This window comes from Homo sapiens, chromosome 2 (assembly GCF_000001405.40).
Source record: "Homo sapiens chromosome 2, GRCh38.p14 Primary Assembly".
Lineage (NCBI taxonomy): Eukaryota > Metazoa > Chordata > Mammalia > Primates > Hominidae > Homo > Homo sapiens.
This window is the reverse complement of record NC_000002.12, coordinates 24,831,400-24,855,447: the sequence shown is the minus strand read 5'-3', so window position 1 is coordinate 24,855,447 and position 24,048 is coordinate 24,831,400. Positions and strand designations below refer to the sequence as shown.

At 55.0% G+C, this 24,048-nt stretch overlaps 1 protein-coding gene and 1 long non-coding RNA gene across 32 annotated transcripts in view, besides 3 other annotated features; both read left to right on the top strand.

The window, feature by feature from the left end:
- ADCY3 (adenylate cyclase 3) overlaps positions 1 to 24,048 on the top strand; it is a 101,069-nt gene that overhangs the window by 64,790 nt on the left and 12,231 nt on the right. For 11 of the 31 annotated variants that reach the window (XR_007068865.1, XM_017003189.2, XM_047443011.1 and 8 more), the window contains 10 exons: positions 13,064 to 13,194; positions 13,781 to 13,892; positions 14,062 to 14,189; positions 15,417 to 15,575; positions 16,536 to 16,601; positions 16,826 to 17,003; positions 18,403 to 18,531; positions 20,455 to 20,654; positions 20,802 to 20,963; positions 23,699 to 23,786. Coding sequence is in view for 30 of the 31 variants with exons in the window: in XM_017003189.2 (XP_016858678.1) it covers positions 13,064 to 13,194; positions 13,781 to 13,892; positions 14,062 to 14,189; positions 15,417 to 15,575; positions 16,536 to 16,601; positions 16,826 to 17,003; positions 18,403 to 18,531; positions 20,455 to 20,654; positions 20,802 to 20,963; positions 23,699 to 23,786 (1,353 nt within the window). In the remaining variant the exon portion in view is untranslated. The remainder of the gene's footprint in view (positions 1 to 13,063; positions 13,195 to 13,780; positions 13,893 to 14,061; positions 14,190 to 15,416; positions 15,576 to 16,535; positions 16,602 to 16,825; positions 17,004 to 18,402; positions 18,532 to 20,454; positions 20,655 to 20,801; positions 20,964 to 23,698; positions 23,787 to 24,048) is intronic. The other 20 variants (NM_001377130.1, NM_001377129.1, XM_047443014.1 and 17 more) reach the window with 3 other exon arrangements.
- Positions 19,926 to 20,849: an enhancer, noted in NCBI's record as "H3K4me1 hESC enhancer chr2:25057468-25058391 (GRCh37/hg19 assembly coordinates)". NCBI's record gives its function as "activates a minimal SCP1, AML or CMV promoter by ChIP-STARR-seq in naive H9 embryonic stem cells {active_cell/tissue: H9 hESC(naive)}" and the evidence as "EXISTENCE:reporter gene assay evidence [ECO:0000049][PMID:30033119]".
- Positions 20,850 to 21,774: an enhancer, noted in NCBI's record as "H3K4me1 hESC enhancer chr2:25056543-25057467 (GRCh37/hg19 assembly coordinates)". NCBI's record gives its function as "activates a minimal SCP1, AML or CMV promoter by ChIP-STARR-seq in naive H9 embryonic stem cells {active_cell/tissue: H9 hESC(naive)}" and the evidence as "EXISTENCE:reporter gene assay evidence [ECO:0000049][PMID:30033119]".
- LOC105377626 (uncharacterized) lies at positions 20,982 to 23,368 on the top strand. Its single transcript, XR_939842.3, has 2 exons — positions 20,982 to 21,706; positions 23,088 to 23,368. It is a non-coding gene; the product is annotated as an uncharacterized LOC105377626 (long non-coding RNA).
- Positions 21,954 to 22,248: a silencer, noted in NCBI's record as "tiled region #9030; K562 Repressive non-DNase unmatched - State 18:Pol2". NCBI's record gives its function as "represses a minimal TATA promoter and a strong SV40 promoter by Sharpr-MPRA in K562 cells {active_cell/tissue: K562}" and the evidence as "EXISTENCE:reporter gene assay evidence [ECO:0000049][PMID:27701403]".

Below are 24,048 nucleotides of genomic sequence, written 5' to 3'. Positions count from 1 at the left end.
CCCTGCTCGGCTCTTCCCGCAGTCTTCTCTCTCGGTTTCTGGGAATGGGAGTTCACCACCTCTCAGGGCAGCACATTCTTTGAACTGTTTGACTCTTTAAAAATTCTTCCTTCTCTGAAAGCAACATTCTGTTCCCCAGCAGCCTTTCCTCATTAGCTTTCTCTCTTGGGGCCTCCAAAGCAAGTCTTGTCCCTTTTCTACATAGCAGCTTTCCTCAGACTTAAAGACAGCTTCCTAAGAAGAAGGGGGTGGGGGGGACCTGGGGCTAAGGACACAGCCTGGTTAAGCTGGACCGGGGCCTTTTTATTTTTCTGTCACACAGCCCAGAGCCAAGGGGCTTGTTCAGGCAGCTACTTTATGCTGGGAATTCATTTTATTTTATTATTTTTATTTGTTTCGGGATGGAGGCTCGCTCTGTCACCCAGGCTGGAGTGCAGTGGCGCAGTCTCAGTTCACTGCAGCCTCTCTCTCCCGGGTTCAAGCGATTCTCGTGTTTCAGCCTCCTGAGCAGCTGGTATTACAGGTGCCCGCCACGAAGCCCTGCTAATTTTTGTATTTTTAGTAGGGATGGGGTTTCACCATGTGGCCCAGGCTGGTCTTGAACTCTTGACCTTAAGTGATCCGCCCACCTCAGCCTCCCAAAGTGCTGGGATTACAGGCGTGATCCACCATGCCCAGGCTGGGAATTCATTTTAAATCTAACAGCATCTCAAATGGTAGGTGTCCCCCTTCTAACCCCCGCAACATTGGTACATTGTGTCTCTCCCATTCTGTTCTCCTGCATTTGGTTTGGGAGTCTCAGGTACAGACTATGACCTCTATCCTTTTTGAATTTCATCCTGTATGTTGCACCAGATTTCAGCAGAACAAAAGCCACGAGCCACTTGTCCCAGTGACACGCCAGCCACACATTTCTAAATACATCCTCTGTATCTTCTGAGAAGTTCTCCTTCTGGAAAGATTTACACTTTAAACAAAGAGGCCTAAGAGATGCCCATTTTATAGATAAGGAACCAAGCCCCCGGGGTGAAGTACCTGCCCAGGGCATGGGGGCCTTTGCAGCCTAACCCCAGATCAGTGAGCTTTGCTGTACCCCCCAAAACCCCTGGGTGATATGGCCACTCCTCTGACAGATGTTCTGATTTTAAACATGCTTTGTTTCTTCAGCAAAGCCACCTTTGGGATTAGTCATTACTATCTTACGTCAACAGATACTCCTCTGTTTAGTCCAGGCCATCAGATAAAAAGTAGCTTCAAGTGAAGGAAGGGTCCTTTTTCCACAGTCCGGTTCTCTGGAACCCTGCCACCCCCTACCGAAAGTCACAGTCCAAGAGTGAAGCCACCACAGGCCACAGCTTCAAGACACCACAGCCTGAACAGGTGCAGTCCTGGGAGAAGTGGCCTCTGTGTCCTCAAGTAATTTTTATAAAGGAGAGACAACACCAAAGGGGCCTGAAATGGATCACAAGAATTCACATCATGATGAATATCACCATTCAATTGTGTACTGATTATTGTATATCCTCATTCAATGGCTATAGTCATTGTATATACAGATTCAGTATATATGAATCAGTATGTATGAATAATGATGTTCAGTGATGGGCATTGAATAGCGATGAAATGCCCAGTGCCAGGAGCTTTCAAGAGATAAGGCTCACTGGCCGGGTACGGTGGCTCATGCCTGTAATTTCAGCAATTTGGGAGGCCAAGGCAGGCAGATCACCTGAGGTCAGGATCTCGGGCAGATCACCTGAGGTCACCAGGCTGGCCAACATGGTGAAACCCCGTCTCTACTAAACATATAAAAATTAGCCAGGCATGATGGTGTGCACCTGCAGTCCCACCTACTCGGGAGGCTGAGGCAGGAGAATCACTTGAACCTGGGAGGCGGAGCTTGCAGTGAGCCGAGGTCGCACCATTGCACTCCAGCCTGGGTGACAGAGCGATGCCATCTCAAAAAAAAAAAAAAAAAAAAAAGATGAGGCGCGTTTCAATCTGAAAATCACACTATAAAACAATTGTAACAATAAAAAAGGATTACAGGAAAAGAAAACATACAAAGAATATGGAAGCTGCCAAGTGACCCCTGCCCCCTGGGCGCTGCCCTGTTGCACCTTCCCCTGCGGCAGCTCCTCACAGTGGGGTCCTGTGCCATCCTTGGGCTTTGGGAAGGGGGCAAGGTCGCCATACGTCGTGTCCTGAGGCGCGCAGCCATTTCCACCTCAAAACACATCGCACTGGCTTTGAGGGTCTTGTTTTCTGCAGCTTCCTTATACCCCAGTCCTCGGTTACAGGTTTTGCCTCCTAGTTTGATATGGCTGGAGGCAGTGCCTTTAGTAGGTAGACTCTTCCAGAATGTTGTACAAATAACACCCCTACACACACACACACACACACACACACACACACACACACACACACACACACACACACACACACCCTCCAGCTGTTCCTTTCCTTCAAATCTTGTTCCTCAAGAGAGACTTCTCAAACCTCAGGTGCACAGGTGTGCCTCACGGTCCGTGGCTTCCCCACCCTGATGAGCACGGGTGATGCTGAGTCCACAGCCCCACCAGCCACACTCTGGGTAGGGCAGCCTGAAGTCCTGGGGATGGGCTCGGCTGAACCAGGGCTGCACTCCCAGCACCGGCTCGGCCACTCTGTGTGGCAGTGACGAGGGCAACCCAAGTTTCCGCGGGCGTTGGCAGCTCGGGTCCTCGGGCAGCGGCTCCTGGCCGTGGAGAGGCAGGCAGGCGTCTGCTGGGGGTGTTGGGGAGCAGCAGGCCTCTGTCGAGGTCCGGGGCTGTCCTGGCATCAGGCCTCTCACGCTCAGCCCAGTTGAGTACTTTCTGAGTACACGGTGGCCACTCATGCCTGCTCTGAGGCCGGGCTTTGCCACGTGGGCCCCTCCTCTCCTCAGCCTGTGAGGAGTAGCACAGGGCAGTGAGGCCGGGGAGGCCGGGTGACCCACCAGTGTCCTTAGGCCACAGGGTGGGGAGGGAGCCATGGAGGCAGCACTCTCCTCCTCCGCTCCCTCTTCTCTGCTTAATGTGGGTCCCAGGGAGGACTCTAGGAGCCGCCACCACCACTGCCCCTGTACCCCCCACCCCTGCCTGGTGCCTGGCAATGGCAGCCACAGGACGTCTTTGAGGACATCAGATGCCGTGGGGACAGTGGATTGCAGAGGAGGAGCGGACCGGGGTGCTGGGAGACACATCAGAGGCTGTTGCAAGTTCCCCCCGAGGCAGCCGCTGGGCCGTTTCTGTGAGGAAGGACCCACCGGAAGGGGCTGCCTGATTCCCACGCCCAGGTGGCATGGAGCCCTGGGGAGGGTGTCCAGAGCCAGAGCCGCACTGTCAGGGCCTTACTATGTTACAAAACACCAGGGCTTCGGTCTGGGTCCTGCTGCTTGCACAGAAAGCCAATCACTGTGACAGCAATTATTGCCAAGGAATACGGCTTTAATCGGGTGCTGCGGTAGAGGATATGGGGACTCAGTCTCCAATCCATCTCTCTGACCTGCTAAATCCGGGGTTTACACGGCAGGGAAGAAATGGAACAACGCGCGAGACAATAGGAATGAGGGGTCCTGAGTCTCATTGTCTGGATGTGGTGACCTGGTTGGTGAGTTTCAGTTATTCAGTACTTCATTTGAGAGGCCTGAAGGTCCTTTGCTGAGGAAGGAACTCAGATAAGTAGAAGTTTTAAGCCTTAAGAGCAGAAGGATCCATTTCTATGTTTATTTAAAAGAACAGTCTATGGGACTTTTGGAAAGGTTTTAACCGATGCCCCTGGGCACTGGGGGGACCTTCACATCTGTAGCAGAACAACATTAAAGCAGATGAGAGAACTGGGGTGGGAAAAGCACAAAAACTCACCCATTCCAGGGGTCTCAGAGCCCTGGGTTCAGGGTCTACCGCTAACCCTTTGGGATGTGTAACAGACAACTTCATCTCTCTGTGCCTAGGCTTTGTCACCTGCAAACTTGAGACAATATTGCACATAAATAATACCGGGTTGATGCAGAAGTTTTAGCAAAGGAGAGGGATGATTTTGACTGGGTGGATGGTGTCTGTCACCTGGTGGGTGCTGGGTTCATGAGAGCTACAGAGCGAAGCCAGCCCAGGGTGACCGTTCTGTCTTTGGCTTCCTAGGAGGACCACTGCCTTCCCCCACCCCCATTTTGGCTGTGTGTCTCCTTGGTTCGTGCCTGGCCATAGGTTCCCCCTCCTCAGGTTATGTCCAAGCTGACTAGGAAGTCTGGAGCCAAGCCCAAAGGCCTTGAGGGATGTTCCCTTTCTAAGAAAACTGTGGTCCTTCCAGAGAAGCCGAGGTCAGGGATAGGATCACAGCTGGAGGCAACAGGAAGTTCCATGTTTATTTCCAGTTTAAAAAGTATTTTTAAAAAGAACAACCACCAGCACCCTATAGCAACTTTGAAAAACGTTTCAGGTTTTCCCTAATTCGGTCGTCCAAGTTAAATGAGCCTTTTCTCTTTGCATATAGCCTTCTGCCTTTATTTCTATGCACACATAGATCCCAGCGTCAGCTTCACAGAACACAATTTTGTCCCGCTCTTCTCTCTCTGTACTTTATTGCAATGATAAACAATACTGTTGTTTCATTATGGTCATTCTTAAGGTTGTAGAATCTTCCATCCAGAGGATGTGTCATTTTAATTAGCCATTTGCTGGGTATTTGGGCGACTTACAGTTTTTTCCACAAGGGTTAAGTCAAGTTGCAATGCAGATCACCTTCTACGTATATCTTTTTACTTCTGTTGGATTTGGGGGGATAAATTCTCAGAAGAGCTATTAATGGGTCAAAGGTTTGGAACATTCTTGTGACTCTTGAAACGTATAGCAACTGCTATCTTTGGAAGAGCAGGCTCTGCTTCCACGCTGGGGAGACCAAGCCACATTGATCATCCCTGGGGCCCTGAGCAATCCTAGGCTGCTATGGGTGGCCTCTCTCCCCTGCACTCCTGTCCCCCACTGTGGGACCCATTTGCCAGTTCACCTGGATCCCAGCCTCCTTCCTTCCCCCAGGAACACAAATGAAGGGGTGTCGGAGTCTTTAGCCAGGGCTCTGGAATGGTAATCAGGGATCTTCTGTGTGTGTATGAGCATTTTTCTAGAAGGTCCGTAGCTAGCATCACGCACTCATGAAAGGGGCCAGGATCCAGGAAAGGGTTTAGAACCTCTGAACTCTAAGGGCAAACAAGGCCAGCACCAATCGAGAGGCACCAACAAAGTGGGTGTTAGTGAGGAGGGAGGAACAGACACCCCTGGGCAGGGGCCAGGGGCTCTCTGGAGAGGTGACATGTGAGGTGGGTGTCGAAGGTGTGGGGAGGGAGGAATGTTCCACAGAGAGTGACACCAGAAGCAGAGGACAGGGAGGGGTACCGAGAAGAGGAAACAGTCCAGCTCATCTACCCTAAGGGGCCACAAGGAGAGCAGTGGGGGACAGGACTAGAAAGACAGGTCAGTGCCACCACTGAGGGTGCTGGGCAATGGTGTCGCACAGCTTAGAGGACATCCAGATACCGTGCCAAAGGTGGACTGAATGAGAGGAGCCGGCCGGCACCTGGGAGACACATTCAGAGGCGGTTGCCAGAGGCCCTGAGGCTTGGGGGGTGGCAGGGGGAGGGCCCCTCCCTCCGTGGGCCTTCGTCTCCCAGACCCCCCTCCTCCTTTCCCCTCTGTCAGGTTCCGTGTGTCCTTTCTTCTGCACGCACTGACGTCTTGTTTAAAACTCGTCTTGTTACCAGAATGACTCCAGGTAGACTGTTGGCCTGCTTCACTTTTTGAGCCTGACTATAAGGTTTCCACAAACCACACAGGGAATTGGCAGCCTGAATTTATAAGCATAGCTCCTTTCTTGTTATTTAAGTTTGATTTTCTGCTTTCAGAACATATTTGTGCTCTTAGCAAAGGTTATGGAAATATATAAGGGAAAAAAATGGAAATTCCCCCTGTCCCACCCCCAGAGAGAAGCTCACGGCCGCTTCACTCATGTGGCCCTTCCGAGGCTCCTGTTTTGGGCTCCAGGGCTGCCCTGGTTTTGTGCCTCTGCCGCTACTTTTGTTCTGTATTGGTAGACAGTCTCCGAGACCCCAGCCATACCGGGAGGAGGCTCAGCAGTGTCTGGAGGGAGAACCAGTACTGTGGTCAGGGGCATGGAGCTCCCACAGGACTGGATTGGACTCTCAGGTCCCCAAGGTTCCAAGAGAGCCTGAAGAGGCTTTTCTGAAGGGACAGAACTCTGAGGTAGACCCAGGAGGGCAGGAAAGGCCTGTGTGGGCTGTGGCTGCAGGAGCCACTGCATGTAGGCTGGGAGGGAGGCCAGCACGGTGCTGTGACGTTCTTAAACCTCACGTTCCACGTCCCTCCCTGCCCACACACCTGACCACGCCTCCCCATGCTCCTCACACATCTGCGCCCTCCTCACCCAAGCAGCACCCTGAATGCACACGTGGCGGGGGGGGCTGAGACTCAAATGGAAGGCAGGGCCCTTCCTTGTATCCCTTTGTTGTCCCACCTGCAGTAAGCAGAGCTCAGGAGACCAGGCTGAGTGACCCAGAGGGTTTGTGCTGACCCTGGCACATCTCACTGGAACTCAACCTAAAAACTTCTGGCCAACTTCAAAGCCCAGAGGAACATTAAGCCCTGTCTTTTTGAGCCACCTGCTGTCTCCACACCCTCAGTCACTCAGTCATACTTTCTATCATGTGACTGTAGGAAAAGCTGGACTATGGTGAGCGCTTCCTGTGGGCCAGGCACTGTTCTAAGTGCTTGCCGGCAATGAATTGTGTCCTTCCTGCTTTCCTGCCTAGGAAACCAAGGCACAGGGAGGTTTAGTATCCTGCCTTATGCCGAGACCAGCTCGGCTGGGGAGACCCTAACCCAGTGGTGCTAGAGAAATTAAAGACACGCACACAGAAATATAGAGGTGTGAAGTGGGAAATCAGGGGTCTCACAGCCTTCAGAGCTGAGAGCCCCGAACAGAGATTTACCCACATATTTATTAACAGCAAACCAGTCATTAGCATTGTTTCTATAGATATTAAATTAACTAAAAGTATCCGTTATGGGAAACGAAGGGATGGGCCGAATTAAAGGAATAGGTTGGGCTAGTTAACTGCAGCAGGAGCATGTCCTTAAGGCACAGATTGCTCATGCTATTGTTTGTGGCTTAAGAATGCCGTTAAGGGGTTTTCCACCCTGGGCAGGCCAGGTGTTCCTTGTCCTCATTTCTGTAAACCCACAACCTTCCAGCATGGGCGTTATGGCCATCATGAACATGTCACAGTGCTGCAGAGATTTTGTTTATGGCCAGTTTTGGGGCCAGTTTATGGCCAGATTTTGGGGGGCTTGTTCCCAACACCTTATAGCCACAGTGAGTGCAGGCAGGGCTGGGGGCTGAGCCAGGCCAGCACTCATGATCCTGACGGCTGCCTCCTCCTGCCCCGCGAGCCTCAAGCACACCAGGGCCGCACACTCCAGTGCGGGCTGGGATCCCCGGGATTACTGACCAGAGAAACCCAGCCCCAGCCCAGTGGGTGCTGCCTCCCACCTGCCTCCTCCAGACTCCTCAGCTCTGCCTGCCCCTCAGGACTCCCAGCAGCTGTCTGCCTTGAGAGGCTGCCCTCAAGAGCTGGTGGGGCCCCATCTCTGGCTTTTCTTGAAAACCTTCCTAGAGGCTCATCTTTTCTGCAAACCCAGAGCTTTTTCCACAATGTCTGGTTAGTTAGGTTCCGAGACGGGTCCTGTCCCACCCAGCACTTCACCCATTTCTTTGCATTGGGCATCCTCTCACCACACTTGACTGGCAGAGAGAGGGGAGTTGCCAAGCACCAAGGCTGCCTAAGTTGCTATCCCTGGGCTGCAGGGCCCTGGGAGAACTGGATGCCACTTCCCAGGCTTCGGTGGAGCCAGGGCAGGGCGTACTGGGATTACTTTGCCTTCTCATTCCTGAGCTGTAGTGCCATGCTTGAGGTTAACAGTGAAGAGATATTGCTGTGGAAATGGAAGAATAAGAGTGTCTTAGTCCACATTCATGCTGCTGATAAAGACATACTCAAGATTGGGAAGAAAAAGAGGTTTAATTGGACTTACAGTTCCACATGGCTGGGGAGGCCTCGGAATCATGGTGGGAGGTAAAAGGCACTTCTTACATGCTGGCAGCAAGAGGAAATGAGAAGCAAAAGCGGAAACTCCTAATAAACCCATCAGACCTTGTGAGACTTATTTGCTATCACGAGAATAGCACATGAAAGTCTGGCCCCCATGATTCAATGATCTCCCTCTGGGTCCCTCCCACAACATGTGAGAATTCTGGGAGATAGAATTCAAGTTGAGATTTGGGTGGGGACACAGCCAAACCATATCATTCCACTCCTGGCCCCTCCAAATCTCATGTCCTCACATTTCAAAACCAACCATACCTTCCCAATAGTCCCCCCAAAGTCTTAACTCATTTCAGCATTAACCTAAAAATCCATAGTCCAAAGTCTCATCTGAGACAAATCCCTTCTGCCTATGAGCCTGTAAAATCAAAAGCAAGCGGCCAGACATGATGGCTTACACCTGTAATGCCAGGACTTTGGGAGGCTGAGGCGAGTGAATCACCTGAGGTCAGGAGTTCAAGACCAGCCTGGCCATCATGGTGAAACCTTGTCTCTACTAAAAATACAAAAATTAGCCGGGCATGGGGGCAGGCACCTGTAATCCCAGCTACTCAGGAGGCTGAAGCAGGAGAATTGCTTGAACTGGGGAGGCAGAGGTTGCAGTGAGCTGAGATTGCACTACAGCATTCCAGCCTGGGGGACAAGAGCGAGACTTCGTCTCAAAAAAAAAAAAAAAAATCAAAAGCAAACTAGTTACTTCCAGATACATGGGGATATAGGTATTGAGTAAGTATAGCCATTCCAAATGGGAGAAATTGGCCAGAACAAAGGGGTTACAGGCCCCATGCAAGTCTGAAATCTAGCAGGGCTTCTTTGGAGCTTAAATTTTAAAGCTCCAAAATGACCTCCTTTGACTCCAGGTCTCACATCCAGGTCACGCTGATGTAAGAGGCAGGTTCCCATAGTCTCGGGCAGCTCTGCCCCTGGGGCTTTGCAGGGTACAGCCTCCCTCACAGCTGCTTTCATAGGCTGGCTTTGAGGGTCTGCAGCTTTTCCAGGTGCATGGTGCCAAGGTGTCGGTGGATCTACCATTCTGGGGTCTGGAGGACAGTGGCCCTCTTCTCACAGCTCCACTAGGCAGTGGCCCAGTAGGGACTCTGTGTGGTGGCTCCGACTACACATTTCCCTTCCACACTGCCCTAGCAGGGGTTCTCCATGAGGGCCCCGCCCTTGCAGCACACTTTTCCTTGGACATCCAGGCATTACCATACATCTTCTGAAATCTAGGCAGAGGTTCCCCAATCCTCAATTCTTGACTTCTGTGTGCCCACAGGCTTACCACCACATGGTAGCTGCCAAGGCTTGGGGTTTGCACCCTCTGAAGCCACAGCCCAGGCTCTGCATTGGCCCTTTCGGCCACGGCTGGAGCGGCTGGGACACAGGGCACCAAGTCCCTAGGCTGCACACAGCATGGGCACCCTGGGCCTGGCCCACGAAACTACTTTTTCCTCTTACACCTCAGGGCCTGTGGTGGGAGGGGCTGCCGCAAAGGTCTCTGACATGCCCTGGAGACATTTTCCCTATTGTCTTGGTGATTAACTTTCAGCTCTTCATTACTTACACAAATTTCTGCAGCCAGCTTGAATTATCAGAAGATGGGATTTCCTTTTCTATCGCATAGTCAGGCTGCAAATTTTCCAAATTTTTATGCTGTTTCCTTTTTAAAACTGATTGCCATTAACAGCACCCAAGTCACGTCTTGAATGCTTTGCTGCTTAGAAATTTCTTCCATCAGATACCCTAAATCATCTCTCAAGTTCAAAGTTCCACAAATCTCTAGGGCAGGGGCAAAATGCCACCAATCTCTTTGCTAAAACATAACAGTCACCTTTGCTCCAGTTCCCAACAAGTTCCTTATCTCCATCTGAGACCACCTCAGCCTGGACCTTATTGTTCGTATCACTAACAGCATTTTTGTCAAAGCCATTTAACAAGTCTCTGGGAGGTTCCAGACTTCCCCACAGTTTCCTGTCTTCTTCTGAGCCCTCCAAACTGTTCTGACCTCTGCCTGTTACCCAGTTCCAAAGTCACTTCCACGTTTTTGGGTATCTTTTCAGCAATGTGCCACTCTACTGGTACCAATTTACTGTATTAGTCCGTTTTCACGCTGCTGATAAAGACATACCTGAGACTGGGAAGAAAAAGAGGTTTAATTGGACTTAGAGTTCCACATGGCTGAGGAGGCCTCAGAATCATGGCGGGAGGTGAAAGGCACTTCTTACCTGGTGGCAGCAAGAGAAAATGAGCAAAAAGCAAAAGCAGAAACTCCTGATAAACCCATCAGATCTCGTGACATTTATTCACTATCACAAGAATAGCACAGAAAAGACCGGCCACTGTGATTCAATTACCTCCCTCTGGGTCCCTCCCACAACATGTGGGAATTCTGGGAGATACAATTCAAATGAGATTTGGGTGGGGACACAGCCAAACCATATCAAAGCGCAAAACCACTATTACTGCTTCAGGCAGGGGCCAGTGCCAGGCATGCTCACCTTGTCCTAATGGTGTGATTCCCTGCAAGAAAGGTGATAAATTCTCCCCATGAAGCCACAGAGTGCAGAAGATGGGGACCTGTAGCAGAGCTGATTCTCACAAGGGAGGCCTCTGGTTTACCAGGTGCTGAGGGCCCAAGTACAACAGCAGACTCTGGGGACCTCTTGGCAGCTCCACCCAGAGGAGTGGAGTTGAGCCTTCACCTCCTCCTGCCCCAAAGCAGGTGCATCTGACATGCAGGATGAGCTGGCCTCTCTCGGGCCTCAGGGACCCCTGAACTCAGCAGAGTCAGAGCACTTGCATGGTGCCCCCCTGCCCAGGCCTTGTCAGGAGGCAAGGTCCCTGGCTCCTGCTCCTGTGGCCTGGGACCCACAGCCATCCAGCCAGGCCCTAGGTGCTGAGGACCAAGCCACTAGTTCTTGGTTTTCTGGCCACCCAGGACCCAGGGTGGTAATGCCTGGGACCTGCACCCTAGGCACAGAGCTCCTGGGGGTCCTGAGTTCCCGCCCATGCACTCCTCACCTTTCAGCAGCCGACCCCATGGCGACACGGGCCTGGCCACCCGGAAGCACTCCACCCTGAAGGTCAGCGGGCACCTGTCCTCCAGCCACATCTCTGCCTTCCGGTTCCCTGGCCTCCCCCTGTGCCTGCTGCGGTTTCATTTGTATCTTGGCCCCTTGCTGGACACACTTTCTTTAGTTGTGTCCCTGCCATGAGCTAGTTCTCATGCCCCTTGGCCTTTTACAGTTTCCATCTTGCAAAACCTCAACTTGGGATTCTCCCCCAAGTGCCCCCCACCATCCTTCACCAGACGCCATCATCACCCTCCTCCCCTCAGGGATGGGGGCAGTGCTCCCCTCTTGACCAGCTCCCTGCTGAGCCTCTGGTCCCTGGCTTCGCCTCCGCAGCACCACATTCTGTCCCTGGTTTTCTCTCTCCGTACTGCTTATCCAACCCATGGCTTCCAGGCGGATGGTTCAGCCCACTGCCTCTCCTGAGCGCTGCCTGCAGGTGCCCGCACAGAGGCCCCACAGCGCCTCAGAACCAAACCCTGTCTTTGCCCTCATATCTGCCGCTCTTCCTCTGTTCCCTGTTCCAGAGACCGGCACCGCCCAAGCCACAGACCTCTTCTGACAAGAGCCACATAGTAAATATCTTTGGCTCTGTGGGCCATACGGTCTCTGTCGCATCTACCCCACTCTGCCATTGGAGTGTTAAAACAGCCAGAGACAATATATCAACAAATGAGCATGGCTGGGTGCCAGGAAAACTTTATGAAAACAGAGGATGATTTGAGCGCAGGAGTCCAAGACCAGCTTGGGCAACATGGCAAGACCCTGTTTCTACAAAAAATGTAAAAATTAGCTGGGTGTGGTGATGCATGCCTGTACTCCCAGCTACTCCAGAGGTTGAGGTGGGAGGATCACTTGAGTCCAGGACGTTGAGGCTACTGTGAGCCATGTTTGCACCACTGCACTCCAGCCTGGGCAACAGAGCAAGACCCTGTATAAAAAGAAGAAAGACAGCAGCAGTCAGATTGGGCCCACAGGCCACGGTTTGCTGACCCTGATCTAAACCATGCCCAGCTCTCAAGCCATGTTTCTGTTTTTACCTCCACAGAAATCCCTGAAGGACCCTGGTGCGCTTTGCGTGTGTCTGTGCGTTTGTGTACACGGCTGCCTCCAACAGGAGTGCCCTCAGCGTCGCGTCTTGGGCTCGACCAAGGCTCCTTCAGGAAGGCCTCCTTGATGCCTCCTCCCCGGCCGACCTTGGCCCCTGCTTCTCTCTTGCGCCGTCCTCTGCTCTCTCCTTTCTGGGCACAGAACTTGCCATGCTGCGCTGTGCTGGGCATGGTTACCTGTGTCCCCGTGAGACCCTCCGCTCTCTGAGGTGGACGTTCTTGCTGGTTTTGTGTCGCTGGCGCCTCGTGTAGTGCCTGGTCTGCTGTCAGTCTTTGATCAGGTCAAAGCAGAATTTTGTGAGCGATGGCTCTGTGCAGCCGTGGCGGGTGGCTGAGGTGACCCCGCAGGGCTCCTGCCGGGAGGGCTCACGGTGCAGCAGCCCACGCAGGACTGCTGCGCTTCTTGTGGCACGAGGATGCTGAGCACAGAGCCACGTTGGGATGCTTCACTGCGTTTCTGGCTCCCCTCAGTTGCTCTGAAGGGGCCATTGCCACCCTCAGCCTTGTCAGGGCCAGAAGCTGCCTGTCCCAGACCCCTGGCTGCTCCCGAGGCAGATCTGTGAGGTCTCTCTGGAGGGCAGCATGGTTCCCTGCTCACGTTTCTTGCCAGGATCGGGGCATTTCTTCCCAGAAGTATCTGAACTTGCCTCTAGCAGGGCCTACCTTTGCCTCTGACCCTCTCCTGCCCCTCACAGGAGAACCTCATGCTTTCCATCCTGCCCAAGCACGTGGCTGACGAGATGCTGAAAGACATGAAGAAAGACGAGAGCCAGAAGGACCAGCAGCAGTTCAACACCATGTACATGTACCGTCACGAGAACGTCAGGTACGCCGGCCCGGGGCGCGGGCTCTGATGGCAGAGCAGGCTGTGGAGGGCTGCATCTTTGTGGGACCCGCTAGGTGCTGTGGGCTTCAAGAGGTTTTCCAGGGACTAGAAGCAAGGCCTCCCACAGCATTCATCAGCCTGGCGGAGGAAGCTGCCAGCAGATGTTGAAGCTACAGTGTGCTCTAGGCTGCTTGGTCCAACCCCATCATAGAACAGATATCACCTGGAGCGGGGAAGGGACTCCTGTGAGGTCACCCAGCTGTTGAGGGCCAGCACTGGGGCTAGAGCCCTGACCTGTGATTCTAGGAAGAAGGATGAGTTCAGCCTGGGCAGGAGTGGGCAGTGTGGGGTGGTCCCCAGGCACCACAGGGAGGGAGGCCTGCAGGGGAAGTCTGCTAGGACAAGTGCAAGGTCAGAGCCCTGACTTTACCTGGAAGGGTCAGGGTCTCACTGTCTGGGGGTCGTGAGGGAGGACCTTCTCCTGCCCTGATCCTGGCTGCCCTGTGGGTTGGAGAGGGAGCTGGCAGTGGGGTCGGGTACACCTGGCTGCCTGGAGCGTCACCCCCACGGTTCCTTCCTCATGCAGCATCCTCTTTGCCGACATCGTGGGCTTTACCCAGCTGTCTTCTGCCTGCAGTGCCCAGGAGCTTGTGAAGCTGCTCAACGAGCTCTTTGCCCGCTTTGACAAGCTGGCAGCTGTAAGTCCCTGGCCCCGCCTGGCTCTCCAGCGGGGCCTGCCCTCATGGCCTCTGCCTGGCCCCCATCCCCGGCCCCATGATTTTCTCCCACTGTCCTTCCTCTGCTTTCTTGGCCACTCCTCCCTCACTGAGGAGGGGCTGGAGCACAGGCCAGGCCCTCCCCTTTCAGAAATACCACCAGCTGCGGATTAAGATCCTGGGCGACTGCTACTACTGCATCTGCGGCTTGCCCGACTACCGGGAGGACCACGCCGTCTGCTCCATCCTCATGGGGCTGGCCATGGTGGAGGCCATCTCGTAAGTGGGATGCCTCTGGGAGGGAGGCTCCCAGAGCAAGGGCCCCGGCCCTGGACCCAGGGAGAAGCAGGTCTTCCGCGCTGGCCATGGCCCCTGGGTGGGGGATCTGCTGGAAGCAGAGACTGGGACACAGCACTGGTTGATGGGTGGCGCAGGCTCCCGCTCTAGAAGCTGGGATGTGGCTTACCTTCCTCACAGCCCAGGGGACCTGCGAGGCTCCCCCAGCCTGTGGGGCACACTTTTCCAGCCTTAGTCCACGTATTCTCTTTTTGCCAGAAGTTGCAGTTGTGAATTTTCTCACGCCTCCTCACACTTGCTGGGACCCCCACAGGGGCTCCCCATCTCTCCTCAGTGTTTTCTCACCGTGACCCCCGAAGGCACTGCCCTCTCCATCTCGTGATGCAGTGACTGTAAGACCCTGGCAGAGGGGCTCAGGGATGAGGCTGGATCCCACCCCGGCCTCTGTGCTCCAGCCTTAGGCTGTGAGGGAGGCAAACTCTCCTGCCCTCACTGTCCCCTACTCTTGCCCCTGCTCCAAGTGGGCTTGCAGCTCTCGGATGGGCAGTCCCTCTGGTTGACTTCCAGCCTCTGCGGGACCCGGGGTGACATCAGGCACCAACACGGAAAGGGAAGCTCCTGCCGAGGCCCCTCCCCCATGGGATGGAGTCCAGGAAGTTGCCTGCTCTTTACCCCCTTCTCCGAGGGGGCGGCTTTGCATTTTTACCATCTTCCAGGTTAAAGCCCGTCTAGTATTGCCCTGGAAAGAAAGCAGTGTGGCCTTTACCCCAGGGGTGGTAGTCCAGGAACTCTAACATTCTCTCCCTGCCCTGTCAGACACGTTCAGGCAGGGGGCTGTTCACGGCTATTTTCTTCACCTCTGTGTCTGCAGCACCTTGAACGTGCCTGGCACATACTTGATGCTCAGTGAAATATTAACTGCACGAATGAATAAAAGAGTAATTGGCAGAGAGAAACTGAGGCCCCTCGGGAAGTGGGGATAGGGAGGAAAGTCGCTTGGTGCCCTCGTCCTGCTGGCCTGTGATGCCTGACTCTGGGCTGGCCCTGGCCTGCCTTACCCCCCACCCAACACCAAGCTGTGGGGACCTTGCCAGGCCCCCTCTTGTGGAGGGGAAGAGGCCCACAATGAATTTCTCCTGCAGGAGCAGGGGCAGCTGGCTGCCTCGTGAAGGCCACACCCTGACCCTCCTTTCTGTGTGTACCTGGCAGGTATGTGCGGGAGAAGACCAAGACTGGGGTGGACATGCGTGTGGGGGTGCACACGGGCACCGTGCTGGGGGGCGTCCTGGGCCAGAAGCGCTGGCAGTACGACGTGTGGTCGACTGATGTCACTGTAGCCAACAAGATGGAGGCCGGCGGCATCCCTGGGTGAGTGCCATTCCAAGGGGGCAGGTTTGAGGACTGGGGAGGGGACCGTCCCCTCCATCCCCCAGGGCTGTGACCCTGATGAGGGACAGGGGGCCTCAGAGAAGGCCTCCCTACAACCCCGGAACAGCATTCCTCCTGTCTCGCCCTGGTCCTGGCCCTGGCTAAGGCCGTTCTGACCTGCCTTGGGGTGAGGCCTCTTTGGGCCTGATATTGGATGTGGCTTTTCCTTCCTGGACCCTGCAGTAGCCTGTCCTCCTGTCCCCTTTACCGACTTAGGGGGCTGCCTCCCCTTTACCCACTAAGGGGGCTGCCCCAGCTCTCCTTATGTCAGAGCCCAGGTCTCCCCAAAGGGAGAGTAATGAGCAGTCATCAGCTAGCGGGCTCGCAGGCAGCGTTTTGCAGGTCGCAGTGCGATTACACGCCTTACTTGAGCTCCCTTACAGGATAATGGAGGCCCTGCCTTTAGCAGGGCGAGGCTGAGGGAGGATCAGCCCAGCCTTCCCCATCTGGGCCAGGGAGCTTCCTTCAGTGGCATTTAGGATTCTTGGCCTCAGTGGTGACTCCTCAGAAACAGGTTTTATTATCTCTTGGCAGCAGGGGTTGCAACTGAGAAACGTGCAAGGTGGGGGATAATTGGATCTTGTGGCTCACGCCTGTAATCCCAGCACTTTGGGAGGCCGAGGTGGGTAGATCACCTGAGGTCAAGAGTTTGAGACCAGCCTGACCAACATGACGAAACCCCATCTCTACTAAAAATACAGAATTAGTCGGGTGTGGTGGTGTGCACCTGTAATTCCAGCTACTCTGGAGGCTGAGGCAGGAGAATTGCTTGAACCCGGGAGGCAGAGGTTGCACTGAGCCAAGATCAAGCCACTGCACTCCATCCTGGGCGACAGAACAAGACTCTGTCTCAAAAAAAAAAAAAAAAAAATTCCTTATCGCATTTGATCTGCTTTACAGCGGATCAAAGATTGAAGAAAGATTGTACTCCTGTGTCGTGGCTCCAACACTGAGGCTGAGATGGGAGTAAGTGCCATACGGCCCACACAGCTAGTTAGCGGCCCACACAGCTAGTTAGCGGCCCACACAGCTAGTTAGTGGCAGAACTGCCTCCACTTGGCCTCTGCCCCACATGCCCGAGAGACACGGGGCCGAGCAGCAGCCGGTGCAGCCGTGGTCCGTGGACTGTCCCCTGGGGGTGTGAGGGCCACCTCTGGCCGACGCTCAGGGCCTCTCTCTCTGCAATCCAGGCGCGTGCACATCTCCCAGAGCACCATGGACTGCCTGAAAGGGGAGTTTGATGTGGAGCCAGGCGATGGGGGCAGCCGCTGTGATTACCTAGAAGAGAAGGGTATTGAAACCTACCTCATCATTGCCTCCAAGCCAGAGGTGAAGAAAACAGCCACCCAGAATGGCCTCAATGGCTCGGTGAGTTCCCCACCCCACCCCACCCACCCCACCCACCCCACCCCTGGATTAGGGGGTTGGAAAGGAGGAGATTAAGGAAAGATTGCAGAAGAGGTGGCAGGACCCAGCAGTGGCTGGCTGTGAGAGGTGAGTGGCAGGCTGGCACCCTTCCCAAGGGAGAGCTGGTTTCTGGGGGAGATGGTGAGTGTAATTCATGGCAGGTTGCAATGGAGGTGACTGAAGCATATCCCAAGACCACATCCAGGAGGGGGCCGCTGGAGATGTGTCGGTGGCGCCCAGGAGAGCAGCTGGGTTGGGGCTCAGGGTCTCCTGCATGGAGGAAGTGAGTGAAGCCACAGGAGTGACGTGGATGCTCAGGGAGAGGCTCAGAGAGGAGGGTGGGGGTGGGGTGACTGGTCATGGGGGAGGAGGACCAAGGCCAGGAAGGTTTCCTGAGTGGGAAATGAGGGAGGAATGAGATAGAAGTAATAGAGCAGGGGTGTCTAATCTTTCGGCTTCCCTGGGCCACATTGGAAGAAGAAGAATTGTCTCGGGCCAAACAAAAAATACTGTGGGTTGAACAAGCTTGCAATCGTGCATCCTGTGGGCCTGCCCTCTGGTCTTTTTGTGGGATCCCCCGAATATCTACAGACCTGAAGCACTCAGCAGCTTCCCCAGGTCTGTCCACCAACCCCCAAACACCTCCTGTCAGTCTGATTAGAAACCACCAGCAGCTGTTGCAGAAATGGATCCCTTTACCATCCCCTGCTGAATCTGGAGGTTGTCTTATTTTTTGTAATCTCATGTCAAAACCCTTTCCTCCAGTTATGAGAGTCCATCTAACAAGACTTGGAATTAAGGAGCTTGGTGACTGTCAGGGAAGTCGTGTCATTTGAGACTGCTCTATGGCTGAGGCTTTGCCTAATTATGGCTAAAGCAAAGCCCACTCTGGTGAGGCTGCCGGAGTGAAGGCTGATACTCCCCGCTGATTCTAACCTCGATGTCAGTCTCATCCAGTGTCATTTTAAAGGCTGTCTCTGACAACTCCCAAATTTGTATCTCCACCCCCAGTGTCTTCCCTGCACTCAACATACAGCCACTTGTACGTCTCCATTTGTACATATAATAGGTATCTTAAATGCCACCTGCCCAAAGCTCCTGCCCTCCTTCCCACTCCATAACCTGCTCTCCCTCGGTCTTCCCATCTCAGTTAATGGCAGTTCCATCCTTTTATTAACAACTGCTCAGACCAAAAAGTTTGAAATCATCCTTGACGCCTCACTTTGCAATCCACAAGCAAGTTCTGTGGCCTCAGATTGCTCTCTAATCCCACCGCCTCCCACGCCCTTGTCACTTCCAGACCTGTCCACGCCACTCTCATCCCATGCCCAGATCATGGCTGAGCTCTCCTTTCCTCTAGGCCCTGCCCAATGGAGCACCAGCTTCCTCAAAGTCCAGCTCCCCTGCCCTCATTGAGACCAAGGAGCCCAACGGGAGTGCCCACAGCAGTGGGTCCACGTCGGAGAAGCCCGAGGAGCAGGATGCCCAGGTATGTGCAGGGCTCAGGGCAGGGGGTCACTGAGGGCCAGATGCGGGCAGGCACCAGGAAGCAATACGTTCCTGCAGCAGGAGTCCTGTGCTGGGGAGACCTGGCCACCACCCAGGACCTGCTCCTGCTTAGCACTGTAACCATGGACAGGTCACCCCTCCAGCCCCGCAAAACCCCACTGTCTCCTCATCAGTTACATGCCGGGGTGAGTAAGGTCAAAAGAGGTGCTTAGCTCGGAGGCCTTTGTAGCTCTGATGGCCCGGAATCCTGTAGATTTGAGATCAGTGAGGACATCCATGGAAAATTATATAGGATCTGAGACCATTTTGGAAGTGAGATATCAGACCTGGACTCACCCCTCTGGCTAGGTTCAAGCCCCACAAGTTCCATGCAAGATGGGATATTTCCTTAGCCCCCAAAGGCGAGGAATTAGCATGCTGTCCCAGAGTGCAGGGTGCCTCTTGGGGAGCACCCAGAACTGGTCCCTGACCGCAGGGCGTCTGGAGCACGTTCACTGATGGAGGTCAGTGCTGCAGAGATGGGATGTCTGCCCTGCTCGGGCTCACCGCGTGAGGGGGACAGGAGAGCTGGCCCTGGTGCCATTAGAGCAGATGCCGTAGAACAAGAGGGTAGATGGGGCTCAGGGTAAATTAGGTTTTTCTTGAGTCCCCCAACATTCAGTAACTTTTCCTTGTTGCAGTTTTCTTGATAGAAAGTGGGGGTCCAGACTCAGGGCACTCACTAGCAAGGAGGACACAGATGCAGCTTTAGCAGCCTGATTTTTCGGGCCCTGACCCTCAGCCAGGGCCACGCTGCTCCCGGATCTGCTTCAGGAACAGGTTCCCGCTGCTGCCACAGACCATCCACGTGATTTTACAGAAGGGGAAGATGTGGCTGGGGAAACATTATCTGGGGTCAAACTGTCAACCAGTGGCACACCTGTGCCTGTGCTTAAGACCAGGGAGTCTTTTTTTTTTTTTTTTGAGATGGAGTCACGCTGTCACCCAGGCTGGAGTGCAGTGGCGCGATCTTGGCTCACTGCAACCTCTGCCTCCCGGGTGCAAGAGATTCTCCTGCCTCAGCCTCCCAAGTAGCTGTGATTACAGGCGTGTACCACCATGCCTGGCTAATTTTTGTATTTTTAGTAAAGATGGAGTTTCACTATGTTGGCCAGTCTGGTCTCAAACTCCTGACCTCAAGTGATCCACCCACCTCAGCCTCCCAGAGTGCTGGGATGACAGGCGTGAGTCACCGTGCCCGGCCCCAGGGAGTCGTGACTGTGGCTCCCAGATGCACTGTTGAACCCGTTCAGACAGCTCTCAGCCCGTCTCAGTGACTATTCAGACTGATGGCTGTGTCATCACAGCCAGGATTCCTGTTTTTGGAGTTGATGCTTTTTCTTTGGAACTGGGAATAAAAGGGTAGTGGGTGCCCCAGCTCCACCTACCCGCCCCTTGTCAGCCCTCTAGTGATGAGGACATTCTTCTCTCTCCCATCACTTTCCCCCTCAGATCTTCCTTTCCAAATGAGCCAGATGTGAGTTCCTTTAACAGTTCCCTGAAGCCCTAGAGTTGGGAGCCATTCATGTCCCCAGGCTGCCAATGTATATGGCCCCCACATCAATACAGCAGGAAGTGCCAGGACTGCCTCAGCCCAGCAGCTGTCTCCGATTACAGGTCTCCTGCTCAGGAGCCAGGGGCTGCTCCCTACAATGCTGTCATTAGCGGACCCTCCCTGCAGAGCTCTGGGTGGGGGGCCCGGGGAGCCAGGAAAGACTGGAGCTTTGGGTGTAGATCCAGGCCACATGGAGCCACGTGGGAGCATGGGGAAGACTTCCCGGAAAGGGATTTTAGAGCTGGAGGGATTGGTCCTCCGAGTATGCCCTCTTTTGTTCCTTTCCTCCTCCACCTCTGTCTTTCCCAGCTCTTCCCCACCACTCTGTCCCATCTGCCCCACTCACGCTGCCTCCCTGGCTCACAGGCCGACAACCCCTCATTCCCCAACCCACGCCGGAGGCTGCGCCTGCAGGACCTGGCTGACCGAGTGGTGGATGCCTCTGAAGATGAGCACGAGCTCAACCAGCTGCTCAACGAGGCCCTGCTTGAGCGAGAGTCCGCCCAAGTGTAAGCGCCACCCGGAAGCGTCCAGGCCCACCACTCCTCCCGGGCCCTGACAAGGGATTCAGGAAACTGAGCATCCCAAATACGGCCCCCCTGCTAGGCCAAGGCAGATGTGGCATTTGGGATTCATGGGGCTTGTTCCCACTGCAGAGTAAAGAAGAGAAACACCTTCCTCTTGTCCATGCGGTTCATGGACCCCGAGATGGAAACCCGCTACTCGGTGGAGAAGGAGAAGCAGAGTGGGGCTGCCTTCAGCTGCTCCTGCGTCGTCCTGCTCTGCACGGCCCTGGTCGAGATACTCATCGACCCCTGGTGAGGGAGGGGCCGGGGAGGGCCACGAGTTTCCTCGGCTGCGGTGGTGCCGGGCGGGGGGCGGGGGCAGGTGTCTCAGCGGGAGCCTGACATTGGGGAGCAAGCCAGTCTCTGCTCCCTGACCCCCACTGGGACGGCCCCCACAGGCCCCAGGAGTGCTAGACGGCACCCTGGGCATCCTTCCTTTTCCCTGCCCCGCGTTTTGGAGCAGTCCTAGCGTCAGAATGGGGATCTGGCCAGGATCAAGAGAGCTGAGGGACAGAGGCCTCCAGAAGGCTGGAGACCTTGGCTAGATGGGCCCACACTGATTCTTGGGACAAAGATGGGGACACTGCGTCAGTCTCAGTCACCAAGGCTGACCTGGCCCCTCTCTTGGCTCATCTTGGTAAAGATAGATTTTAGGCTGTGGGCACAGACTGACGCCCTCTCTAACGCAGCAGTAGGTCCTCCAGGGCAAGGTGTGGCCTCCTGGAGTCCCCAGCTGGTGAAGCCCTGTCTGAGGGTGACGACCACTCTCTTGTTCTCCCTTTCTCCCCTCGGCCAATCGGGGATTCCCCGTCACAGAGGAGGGGTCTGGAACCCTGCTGGGATTACAGTTTGTCAGGAGCCTTGGGCTGGGTCACACTATCTAAGGTTGCGGGTGTGTGACCACGTGCAGGCCACTGCAGGCTCCGGCAGCATCTGTTTCCTCATCTGTGAAATGAGGAGAACAACCCCTGCCCTAGCGGACACTCACGACTGTGGTGAGGCTCAAATTCACTCATTCCATAAGTATTGATTGGTTGTCTGCTTCATGCGTGGGGATCAAGGGCTGGGGCTATGGCAGCGATGCGGCACACAGAAACCCCTGCTCTCGTGAAACTTGGGTTCTGGTAGGGGAAGCTACAGGCAAAAGCAATTAAACAATTAAAATATGCATCCATGCGAGAGTAAGTACTGCAGACACAGGGAAGGCAAGGAAGGGAGGCGGGTATGCTGCTGGGGAGCTTTGTTTTGTTTTGTTTGCATTTTGATGTGGGATGGTCAGAGCAGGACTTGCTGGCAGGATAATATTTCAGTAACGCCTGGAAGCGGGTGAGGGGCGAGCCTTCTCCTATCTGGGGGACACCTGCTTCGGATAGAGGTGCTGAGGCTGGAGTGGCCTGGCCCCTGGAGGCACAGTGAGGAGGCATCGCATTGGGAACGGGCCACAGGAAGAGTAGCAGGAGTCCAGCACAGACGTGGGGCCTCCTACACGCCACTGCAGGGTGCCAGCTTCCACTCTTAACACAGGAGGCCGCCAGAACAAGGGAGCAGAGGAGTCCCCTGTTGTGACATATGCCTGGAGAGGCTCACTCCTGCTGAGAACAGCGCTTAGTGAGCACAGCGGGAGCAGTGAGACCAAATAGCGGCCCAGACAAGCCACTGTGGTGGCCAGGCCAGGCCGAGGATAGAGGAGGATCAGTGGTTGGATTCCGTCGATAGATGCTGAATGTATTTTGGAGACAGAGCTGACAGGATTTGCTGGCAGATTGGTTGTGGGGCGTGAGTGTGGAGTTGAGGATGTCTCCTGGGCTTCTGATCTGAGCAACTGGCAGGACGGGGGTGCCGTTAACCAAGATGGGGACAAGGTGGAAAGATGAGAGTGGAGAGGCAAAGATCAGGAGTTTGCTTTGGGACACGTGAAGTTTGCAGTGCCCACAAGCCAAGGAGGCCAGCATCCATGATCTGGAGTTTGGAGGGCGGGTGGGGTTGGAGACGTGAACCTGGCATCACCAGCATGCAGGCTGTGCTGCAACACGAGACTTGCTGAGCTCAAGGCAGCGTGTCCAGATGCAGAGACAGAAAAGGACTCAAGAAACCAAGCGAGAAAAGTGTCTCAAGGAGGGGTGAGAGGTGACTGAAAATGGGACATGGATTTAGCTACCAGGAGGCTTCTGGGGCTCTTGGCAAGGACACCTTCCAGGGAGGGGTTAAACGGGAATGGGTGTGAGCAGAGGGTATAGAGAACAGGTTTCCGGGAGTTGTCAGGTTAAGGTGGATGTGTTGAGTGTGTCCACTGTGAAGCTGGGGGTGGCTGTCACAGGCAGACTCTTAGCCCCCGGCAGCGAGGGAGTGATGCTGCTCCGTGCTCTGTCCTTTCAGCACAGCGACATGGCAGGGGTGCATTCCTAAGATCCCTGCCCAAGTTTATCCTGGGCTGTGCCCAGGCCACCTGTGAGTTGTTCCCTCTCTGGGAAATGTCCCAGGCAGCAGCTGCAGCTGGAGAGTGGCCCGCTCCCAGGCCGGCACTCAGCTGGCGGCCCGTCTCATCAGGGCCTTTGTCCTGTTCTGCACGGCAGGCAGCAGCAATTCCCTGGCACCGCGTGGAGCTGTACAGGCTCGTGCTGTGCTGAGAGGCCTCCCCGTCCCCTGCCCCCGGCCCCTGTCCCCTGCCCCCTGCCCCCTTCCCCCGGTCCTTGTCTGCTGGCCCCTGCCCCCGGTCCCTGTCTGCTGGCCCCTGCCCCCGGCCCCTGCCCCCAGTCCCTGTCCGCTGCCCCCTGGCCCCTGCCCCTGTCTGCTGTCCCCTGGCCACTGTCCGCTGTCCCCTGGCCCCTGTCCGCTGTCCCCTGCCCCCTGGCCCCTGTCCACTGTCCCCTGCCCCCTGTCCGCTGTCCCCTGGCCCCTGCCCCCATCCCCGTCCCTTCCTCTCCTAGCCCCTCACCCCATCTCACTGTCCCCTCTGGCCTCTCCCAATTGTCTTCTCTCTGTCACAGGCTAATGACAAACTATGTGACCTTCATGGTGGGGGAGATTCTGCTCCTCATCCTGACCATCTGCTCCCTGGCTGCCATCTTTCCCCGGGTAAGAGGCACTTTTCTACTGAGCTCAGAAGCCTCTGGAAGTGAGTGGCACTCCCTGTAAAACTGGGCAGTGATGGAGTTATTCTTTCTGTCAAATCTGACAGGCAGACACTCCTCTGTTAGGACGGTCCAGGCACTTGCCCATCCATTCATTCACCATCAGCAGAGCACTCCCTCTGGCTGGGCCACCAGGCTGTGGCAGGCTGTGGTGGGCCACGGCTGGGCCGTGGTGGGCCTTGTTGGGCCGTGGCGCTGCAGCACGT